The following is an 11,524-nucleotide window of genomic DNA, read 5'->3' on the forward strand; positions in this document are numbered from 1 at the left end:
TTTATTCTAATTTTATAAGTGACAGAATTGAAGCTCTGAGGTTAAAAAATTGATCACGTAGATGCTGCATGGAAAAACAGAATTAAAATCCAGGACAAGCAACTTCAAGGTTGGTCATCTGTTTCTTCTATCTCTGCTGCTTTTTAACATGTAAAGTAGCTTTTCAATACTCCAGGAATCTAAAGTTTTGAAGCTCCCTTATGTTTTTTACAGAATCAATAAAATACTCTCAAGAGGAAAATAATCCTCCCAAAAGCTGTGACTTTTTCAGGAGGCTAAAGAAGTACTCCTTCCCCGAGTTTAGAGCAGAATGGTTCCAAACACCTCTTTCCTTCTGACTTGCACTTGTTGAACTGTTACCTTTCTTGTTCTCATCAGCATTCATATAGAAACATTTACTAATCTTAGCCATATTCTGGGCTTTGTACCAAATAATTCTCATTAAATCTTTCTTTTCCAGTTCATTTTGGCCCCTGCCCACATGCTACTTTATGGGAAGATTGAATTGTTTAGGATGTGTTTTGCTCATCAATTAGATGGTATGGTCCTGGAGAGAATGGACTTATTTTGTTACCAGTGTTAGCCAACAGCTCGCATTTAACTGATGCTTTTTGAATGGAAATTCAGACCATTCAATGAATGCCGGGAAGCAATGGCCTCATCTGGGAATGATCTGTGTATTGCCGTCTTCCTCACACAGTGAATCTCTTTCATGCCATTTCCTCAACATGAAGATGGAGTCACTTGTCAATAATGCAAATAACAGGAAGGTGTTTGGTGAAAGAAAGGGTGCAAACAGGGTCACAAGTGAACTCTTTTGACTTGGAATAAGTAGGCAATTTGGGCCTACAATAATGGGAAGGTGGTTTGGCACTGGAAACATATTGCTTTCAGCGTAACTGTCCCTCTCACAAGAGAACAGAAGGAACATTGTAATTAATGAGTTCTTTCGAAGAAAACAAATGTAAAGAATTTATCAGAGCACCTTAATGTTGCTTGTGGCTGCATCTGTGAAAAACAAGGAACAGGTTTTTCTCCTGGCACTTGTCAGGGGTTAGTTGCTTTCAGCTTCTTTTTGACTTTCTCTACAACAATGTTGATCATAACCATTTTGGTTCTTGAGTGTGCACACTATCTAAAAGCAATCTCTAACTCTTACAAGGCTCTTATTACCCAAAATGGTTATATGTAAGGTGAAAGCTGCTCCCAGGGTAATTTTAATTGGGGTGTCCAGCTTAGAATTGCCTAGCACTAATGTGGAAGTGGGGAGCATAGTGTGGAATAGATGCAATGGCTGCAAGGTCAAGGCTTTTGGGCTGAACACACAGGAAGACACCTGGCAAGGCAAAGGATGGTTTCAACATCTCCATGGAAACAGAGCTCAGGTCCACTTGGTCTACACATCACCTTTGAAAAGCAAAGATAACAAAGCAAGGCCAGTGATTTTTCTCAGTAAATATGAGAATTCAAAAATCTGTTTGAGGGAGCCAAGCCAATTCAATGAGGAAAGAATAATCTTTTTAACAAATGGTGCTGGGACAACTAGATATCTACATGCAACAGAACAAAGCTAGGTTTCTCCTCAGAACAAACATAAGAATAAAAATGTAGGAGTAAATCTTTAGGACCCTGGATTAGAAAAAGCCTTCTCAAATATGACATCCAAAGCACAAGAAACAAAAGAAAAGAGAGATAAACTGTACTTCATGAAAATAAAATAATTTTGCTTCAAAGGAAACCACCAAGAAAGTGAACAAGCAACCCAAAGAATGGGAGAAAATATTTGCTATTACAGCTCAATAATAAAAAGTCAAGTAACCCAATTTTAAAATGCACAAAGGATCTGAAGAGATATTTTTTCCAAAGAAGATGTACAAATGGCCAATAAGCACATAAAAAGATGCTCAACATCATTAGCCATCAGGAAAATACAAATCAAAACCACAGTAAGAAACCACTTCGCCTGCACTAGGATGGCTATAATCAGACAGATAGATGATAAGTGTTGGTGAAGATCTGGAGAAATTAGAACTGTCATCTCTTGCTGGTGGGAATGTAAGCTGAGCAGCTGCTTTGGAAACATTGTGGCCGATCCTCAAATAATTAAATATAGAATTTCCTTAAAACCCAGAAATTGTTCCTGTATGTATACCCAAGAGAAATGAAAACATACAACCACCCAAAAATGTGTACACAAATGTTCATAGTAGCATTGTTTATAGTAGGCAAAAAGTGGAAATAACCCAAATGTTCATCAATGAATGAATGGATAAATAAAAGATTATATATCCTACAATGGAATATTATTCAGCAAGAAAAAGAAATGAAGTATTGACACATGCTACATGTGTCAATGTATCTAGATGAATCTAGAAAATATGCAAGTGAAAGAAACCAGTCCAAAAAGACCACATATTATATGACTCAATTTATTTGAAATATCCATAAAGGTAAATCTGTAGAGACAAAAAGTAGATTAGTCGTTGCCTAGGGCTGAGCAAGAGGGGTAGAGAGACTATAGGGAGTAACTGCTAAAGGATATGAGGGTGAAGGGGTGATGAAAATATTCTAGATTCTGGTAATAATGTAATTGTGGTAAGGGTTGCACTATTCTGTGAATGTACTAAAAAACGTGCTGCACACATCAAATGAGTCAATTGTATGTTATGCAAATTATATCTCAAGTGCTACTTAAAAATCTGTTTGAACTCACTAGAATAATTCATAGCATAACTAAACAACCAGCTTTAACAGGAAGGTTTATTTATATATTTTATTTTGCCAGAAATTGTTTTTAAAAAGTTATTGAATATAATTTTCTTAACCTAATTTAATAATATTCAACCTAAATAATGCTTCAAATAACCATATTATTAAAAAGTCAAGATAGAAGTAAATGTATTTGATTTGATAATTTATTATGTTTGTACAGATTAATATGCATTTATTAACATATTTAATTCTTCTTGAATATTAACTTCAAATATTGGTTTATCAGTATTATTTATTACTTCATTAAATATTGAAATATTTCAGATGAAATTAATAAAATATAATATGTACTATATGTTTTAATATAGGAATATATTTTCTAAAAATATACATATTTATAAACATAAAAATATAAATGCATTTTAATAAGCATATTAAAATGTGTATATTCTAATAATGTCTTACTGACAATAACTTATCTCATGGATTTTTAAATACACTATTACTACATTTAGTAATAGCAGAAGACATAGAATGCTTATTTGAAGGCAAAAATATTCTCATGTGAATATTTTGTGCTGTAAAATAAAAAATACAATTTCTAGAAGCAATGAAACTTTAAAAAATTATTTATTGTTTTGGTCATTGTTTTCTATTTGTGTTATCTTAAGAATGCAGATATTGGTATGGAGATTTTCACAAGGCTCTGTCCATCTACACAAAAGGCTTAGCTGGAACCCTCTTATTGCCTTAAAAGCCTTATAATGGCAAGAACTGTGTTTGTCACACATTTATTTTACATATGAACCCTGGTGTAGTCACATAATAGATGTTTAAATTTTTTTTAAATTAATTCAATTTCTCAGCTCAAATCCTTGAACTATACTCATAATAGCTGGTAAAATTGTAAAATTAAGCAGACTTTATGGAAAGCAATCAAAATGCATATGGTAAAAGCTCTTAAAATATTTTAAGAAGATAAACAAAAAATGTATGTTCAAGAAAATTCCTAGCAGCATTATCTTCTAATAGTTAAAAACACCTGGAAATTCACTAAATGGGTCATTAATAAAGAATTGGCTAAAGTATAGAACATCCATATAATGGAATATTATACAGTTGCTAAAAGTCATGTTTGTAAATAATTTAATTTTTTTAAAAATACGACTTCTTGTAAAGAAATGAAGGCTAAAAAATTACATAAACAGTACAAACTCAATTATAAAATATATACAGATAGAAATGTAAAAAGAAAACAGTAGAAGAAATTAAATAAACATGCTACTAAATTTATTGTGGTACTAGTGTAAAAATAAGCAGGCAGATACATATAGAACAGAATAGAGAGTCTGCAGGTAGATATTTGTATATTTAAAAAATTAATATGTGGGAACACTAACATCTAAAATTGGTGATTGGAAGCATAAGTCAGTTCATAAATAGTATTAGAAAAATAGTTATCTAACTATGAATAAAATTCAAGTTAAATCCCCACCTCATACCCTATACCATATAAATTCCAACCATATTAAACATTAAAAGGCTAAAAATGTTATTTAAGGACATGAGAAATAAGGAGTATACAATTTGAGCTTGAAGGACTTTCTGAGCATAACTCCCAGCAGAAGCCATAAAAGGAGAGATCGATAGACTTGACTACATTTAAACATTTAAAATGTATGTCTCTGTGAAATAAACACAATTTTTAAAATAGCAAACTACAAAAAATAATTTTGAATTATAACTGTCAAAGTTTAATATATTATTAAGAATACTATAAAAATCTTAAGAGAAAAATGTTACAAGAACATACAGAAAGTGATTAACAGAAAAACAAACAAACAACAAACAAAAACCTCCAACAGACAAAACAACAAAGATTTAAAACTTTCAGCTCTAACCATGATAGGGTAGATGAGTATCAAATCACCCTCCAGTTATGAAGAATTATAAAACTGAATAAATATATATTAATTACTGTTTTCAGTCATTAGATATCATATGGCATAGAGCTGTAATACTTGATAGAAGGGAAACACCTGGGAGTCTTGCCTGAAGGTTCTTTCCTAACAAGGAAGGGCAATCACCCAAACCCAGAGCAAAGATCTCATTAAGATTCAGATCATCATTCGGGAAAAAACAGAGATCAAATTTTGAAACAGCCAAGGTGCCTGCAACTTCCGGGGCAAGATATTGGAGGTGAGAGAGTTATACAGAGAACAATCTGACCATAAGAGTAACTTTGAGTTTTTAGATGAATACTAATGCACTGGTTGAGATGCCATGAGTCCTGAAAAAGAAGCTACAGGTTGTGAGTTAAGCACAGACTTTGGAGGTTATACTCATTGGAAAAAATTGGAATTTTAAACAGCTAGGGTAGAGTCATTTCACTAAATTATCTGGCCATTCAGTTGCATTCTCAATAAAATCATGCCTTAGCAGTATGATTGTAGAAGCTTAGAAGGTTACTCTAACTGCAAAGTAAATGCTATTCTACACTCAGCCTAATAAAGCCTAAAAAATATACCTTCACAGGATAAAACTGATCTGCCAATAAACTAGCTGGCTTACAGAAAGATGCTCAATAGTTGATATGGTTTGGCTGTGTCTCCATGCAAATCTCACCTTGAATTGTAATAATCCCCACGTGTCAAGGGCAGGGTCAGGCTGAGACAATTGAATCATGGGAGGAGTTTCCCCATACTGTTCTCGTGGTAGTGAATAAGTGTGATGAGATCTGATGGTTTTATAAATGGGAGTTTCCCTGTACAACCTCCCTCTTTGCCTGCCGCCATGTAAGATGTCCCTTTGTTCTTCCTGCATCTTCTGCCATGATTATTGAGGGCTCCCCAGCCATGTGGAACTATGAGTTCATTAAATCTCTTTCCTTTATAAATTACCCAGTCTTGGGTATGTCTTCATTAGCAGCATGAGAACAGACTAATACAATATTCTAGAGAACAACAACCAAAATCTAGACTCAACAGTAATATCCACAATGTGCAAGCATGCAATCAAAACTGTTACTAAATAAGAAGAAAAGAAGGAAAAATGTGACCATAATGAGAAGAAAATGATCAATAGAAACACTCAGATACAGCACAGACGTTAAGACAGCTATTATGAATGTAAAGTATGCAGATGGAAAATCTCTGCAAAAGAAAAAATAAAACAAACTATAAAAAAGAGCTAGATGAACATTGTAATTCTGAAAGATAAAATAACTGAAAAGAAAAATGCCCTGGATGGGTATAACAGCAGATTGAACCCTGCTGAAGAAAAGATGAGTGAACTTGAAGGTGGGGCAATGAGAGCTATCCAAATAAAAGTACAGAAAATAAAAATAAACAAAACTTCGGTGACCTGTAGTACAATGAGCTACATACCTATAATTAGAATCCCATAAGAAGAGAAGGGAAAAACTGGGGAAGAAAAAATACTGGAAAATATCACAGGCAAATTCTTCACAAATATAATGAAGACTATAAACCTTCATATCTAAATAGTTCAGTGAACCCCCACGGATAATGGACCCAATGAAAACTGCACCTAGACATATCATAGTCAAATTGCTAAGAATAAAAATAAGGAGAAAAATATTAAAAGCAGCCAAAGTAGGAAAAATCATGAAATATATTAAATATAATTTTACATATAGGTGCACAACAATAATGATTACTAATTTCTCTCAGAAGTAAGGCAAACCAGAATATAAAATCCCATCTTCAAAACCCTGAAAGGGAAAAGTTCAATATTAAGTTAAAAAATATTTTACAAGATTGAAAGAAAATAAAGACACTTTAAATCAGGCCGTGCGCGGTGGCTCAAGCCTGTAATCTCAGCACTTTAGGAGGCCAAGACAGGCGGATCACTTGAGGTCAGGAGTTCAACACCAGCCTTGCCAACATTGGGAAACCCTGTCTCTTCTATAAAAATTAGCCAGGAGGGGTGGCAGGTGCCTGTAATCCCAGCTACTTGGGAGGCTGAGATGGGAGAATTGCTTGAACTCTGGAGGTGGAGGTTGCAGTGAGCCGAGATTGTGCCATTGCACCCCAGTCTGGGCTATAAGAGCAAAACTCCATCTCAAAAAAAAAAAAAAAATTAAAAAAATAAGTTAAAATAATTCAGATAAAATTCAAGAGAGTTTCTTAAAAGCAGAATTACTCTACAGGAAATGATAAAGAAAGATCTTCAAGCTCATAGAAAATGACAGCAGTAAAATACTCAGATATATGTAGAAAGAAACAAATTGCACATAAATGGTATATGTAAATATAGAAGACTTAAACTTTAAAAAATTCTTCAAAAGACAATTGACTGTTTAAAGCAAACAAAAAATGTATAGCAGGGCCTATAATCTATGAAGAATAAAAATATAAACAGCAATAAGACTAAAAATAAGTAAAAATAAACCAAAGAATAGTGTTGCAAAGTTCTTATACTATAAGGGAAATGGTATAATATTAATTCAAATTACACTGTGAATAGTTAAAGATGCATTTTGCAATTCCTAGAGCAAGCACACACACACACACACACACACACACAAAAGAGTGTAATAAAAGAGACAACAGAGGAAACAAAATGGAATAATAAAAAATAATTGATAAGAGGGAAGGAGACGGGGAATGAATTAAAAAGACAGACTGGACAAATAACAAATAAATAGCAAAATGATATTAATTACTGTTACTTAAATACAATCATATCAATGATTTTGTAAATGGATAAAGGTTTTCAGTTAGAAGGGAGAGATTTTGAGGCTGAATAAATTCTGTCTATATAGTGTTTATAACAGGCGTACTTTAATTACAAAGATATAGATTAAAAGTAAAAGATTTGAAAAAATATACCATGCAAACACAAATCATAAGAAAACTGGAGTGCTACATTAATATCAGCTAATACATACTTCAAGACAAAGGTTACTTTTTAGAAACAAAGATAGAGGCTAAGAAGACATCAAAATCCTGAATGTGGCTGCACCTAATAACAAAGCTTCAAAATATATTAAAAAACTGACAGAGCTAAAGGGAGAAATAGGCTCATCCACAACATTCACTGGAGATATTTAACGCTACTTTGTCAGTAATTGCTAGAACAAGTAGACAAAACACAAACAAACAAAAAACACCATAATAGTATTTGAATAACACTGCTAAAAAAATTGACCTAACTAATACCTATAGACCACTAATAACTGCATAATACACATTTTTTATGAACTTGTTTCTTTCCATGAACATTTATTTTTTTAAAATGTTCATGTAATATTCACAGATTGACCAAATTCATAATAATAAAATAATACCCAATAAATGGCAAAGGATTGAAGTCATACAGAGTATGTGTCTTATCCCAATATAATTAAATTGGAAATCCATATAAAAAGTCTGAATAATCTCCAAATACATGCAAATTAAACAACATACTTATAATCTTGGGTCAAAACAAAATCTCAAGGGAAATGCAAAAATATGTTAAAATAAATAATAATGAAAACATAACTTCTCAAAATGAATGGGTTGTAACTAACAAATTGATTACATAAAAATTCATATCAAAATGCATATATTAGAAAAGAAGATTTAAAATCAACCATCTCAGCTTTCATGTTAACAAGGAAGAAAAAGACAAGCAAATTGAAGCATAAGTAAGAGTGAACTAATAAAGTAGTAAGTAATACTAAGTACTAATAATAAAGTAGTAAGTAGTAAGAGAAGAAACAACATGGAAAATAAAGAAAATAAAACAAAAATTGACTGTTTAAAAAGATTAATAAAATTGACAAGCGCTAGATAGCAGAGAGAGAGACAGAAAAAGAGATAAAGAGAGGAATGAAAAAGATCATTGCCACTTGTCATCCATAAATTAAAAAGATAGTTAAGAGGTTATAGAAAAGTTATGCCACTAAATTTGCAATTTTAGATAAAAAATAAATTTCATTGAAAAAAACACGTCCCAAAACAGACACAATAAAATATGCAAGGAGAAATAAGAAATCTAAATACCCTATATCTGTTACAGCAATTGAATTTGTAAGACAAAAAAACTTCACAAATAAGACTTCACACCGGGCTGGCTTCCATGATGAATTGTAAACATCTGTTTTTTAAAGAAATGATATAATTTTACATATACCCTCTTCAGAAAATTGTGAAGGGAATAGCTCCCAACTTATGTAATGAGGTCGGCATAACACTGATATTGAAACCAGACAAATATATTTCAAGAAATGTGAACATACAGATGTAAGAATCCACAACAATATAGTAGCAAATTGAGTCTTGCAATGTATAACAAAAATAATGCATTAAGACTAAGAAGGATTTCTCTCAGCAATATAAATTTGATCTAACATGTAAAATTCAATCAGTTATTTAACATATTAAAAGAAAAATAAAATTTGATCATCTTCATAACTCTAAATTCACTACCCATTTATGATTTCTTTTCGAGTAAGCAAACTAGAAAAAGAAAGTGTATTAGTCCATTCTCACACTGCTATAAAGAACTGCCCAAGACTGGGTAATTTATGAAGGAAAGAAGTTTAATTGACTCAGTATTGCAGGGCTGGAGAGGCCTCAGAAAACTTACAATCATGGCAGAAGGGGAAGAAAACACGTTCTTCTTCACATGGCAGCAGGAGAGAGAAATGAGTGCCCAGCAAAGGAGGAAGCCCCTTATAAAACCATCAAATCTCATGAGAACTAATTCACTATCGCAAGAACAAGAAGGGGGAAACCACCCTGTGATTCAATTATCACCACCTGGTCCTTCCCACAACATGTGGAGATTATGGGAACTACAATTCAAGATGAGATTTGGGTGGGGACACAGCCAAACCATATCAGAAGAGTAACTTCAAAAGCCAATAAAGGGGTCTACAATAAATGTTATAGCTAACATCACATTTATTCATAAATAACTAAAGATTGTTTTCTCTAAGATTGGGAATAAGATAGGAATAAAGTCTTCACTATTTCTACTCACAATTGCACTGAAGATTCTGAAGTCCATAAAACAAGAAAAACAAACTGCATTAGTAAGAAGAAGTAAAACTTTTTACTCATAGGCAATATGCTTGTACAGGTAAAAAATCTTAAGGATTATACAAAAGAAAACAAAGTTTGCTAGAACTAAGAAGTGAGTCTAGTATTTATATGGGTTATAAGGCCAATATACAAAAATAAAATGTATTTTATAAACGAGGAACAAGTGACAATAAAATAAGTAATTTCATTTTAAAAACCTAAATACACAGGAAAAAATGAAAAAGCATAGGAACTGACATAGTGTGGTAACTAAAAATATTACTGAGAGAATTTAAAGACTTAATTAAATAGAGGAATAAAGTATATTCATGCACTGGAAGACTCAAGACTGTTTAGATGGTAATTCATGTCTAACTCATCTATATTTCAAAAAGTCCCCAATCAAAATTTCAGCAAACTTTTTGTTTTTCTAGAAACTGGCTAATTGCAAGCTCATGCTGGAAAGTTGAAAGATCTAGAATAGTCAAAATAATATTGAAAAAAAAAGAAACAAGTTGGATGACTTTTTCTATCTGATTAAGTCAGGCAGGTCTTTATATTAAGTTAGGTCTTTAAGATTTAATGTAAAGCTACAGAAATTAAGACAGTGTGGTAATGGTGAAAGTAGACGGTAAATGATAAAGTAGAAATAAATCATTGCAACAGTAGGCAGAGTCCCAAAATGGACCCACCCATGTATGTTAAGGTAGCCATCCTTTAAGACGGCCTCTAATGATCCCCACCCCCTGTATTCACAACTGTCTGTAGTCCCTTCTCACACCACATAAAGATTGGTTCATGTGATTAATGGAATATGGCATACTTTGTCTGCCATGTCAACTTCTGTTTAAACCATTTAGTGATTTTTTAAAGTTCGTGTACATTTTAGCTTAGAATATCACTTGTCACTTGTTTTCCTTCCATAGCTTCTGTTTACTATTTACTGTTTCCCTTTAATTCTTTGAACATATCCTAATAGCTGCTTTGAAGTTTTTGTCTGCTAAATTCATTACCTGGACTCACTCAGAGTCAGTTTCTACTGATTTCTATTTTTCTCCCTGGAGAATGGACCACCCCGTCATGTTTCTTCATATATCTGGTAATTTTTTGTATTGAAAATTGGACTTGGTGGATAATAAATGTAAAATTATACAATCTATTTTGTTATTGTGAGGTTTGACTTTTTTTTATTTTAGTAAGTAATAAACTTTCCCTAAACTGCAAAATCTGTCTCCCCTGTAATATGTAGACACTAATGATTCTGCTTAATACTTGGGGGGTGGTGTGTGGGGGCATTTGAGTTCAATAAAGATCTTCCCAGCAACTGTATTGCTCGGCAGTCAGCCAATTATTTGGGCAGAGGCTATGTTCAGACACATCAAGCCTGTGAGGCCCTACCTTCTGCTGCCTGAACTGTGTGTGGGTTGTGAATTACAACTATCTAAATTGTGTGTGGGTTGAGGAATGCCGCAAATAGAAAAGTTTTCTGCAAATGTACCCCATTCCCCTGTGCGAGAATTGCTTGAAATGGAACCAGAAACTACCAAATTTAGCCCGGCTGTGAGAACTTACAAAGGGAAGGTCAGAGTCACCATAGAAGTAGCAGGACAGGAGAAATTTAAAGGTGTTGGTCGAAGTAACAGGATTGCCAAATCTGCAGCAGCAAGAAGAGCCCTCCGAAGCCTCAAAGCTAATCAACCTCAGGTTCCCAACAGCTGAAACCCCTTTTTAAAATTCAAAAAAAAAAAAAAAAAGGCGGGGGGGAAATTACTTAAATT

At 33.0% G+C, this 11,524-nt stretch overlaps 1 annotated feature.

Moving 5' to 3' along the window:
* Positions 371-933: an enhancer, noted in NCBI's record as "OCT4-NANOG hESC enhancer chr5:67140720-67141282 (GRCh37/hg19 assembly coordinates)". NCBI's record gives its function as "activates a minimal SCP1, AML or CMV promoter by ChIP-STARR-seq in naive and primed H9 embryonic stem cells {active_cell/tissue: H9 hESC(naive and primed)}" and the evidence as "EXISTENCE:reporter gene assay evidence [ECO:0000049][PMID:30033119]".

The sequence above is a fragment of the Homo sapiens genome, chromosome 5 (assembly GCF_000001405.40).
Source record: "Homo sapiens chromosome 5, GRCh38.p14 Primary Assembly".
NCBI classification, from domain to species: Eukaryota; Metazoa; Chordata; class Mammalia; order Primates; family Hominidae; genus Homo; species Homo sapiens.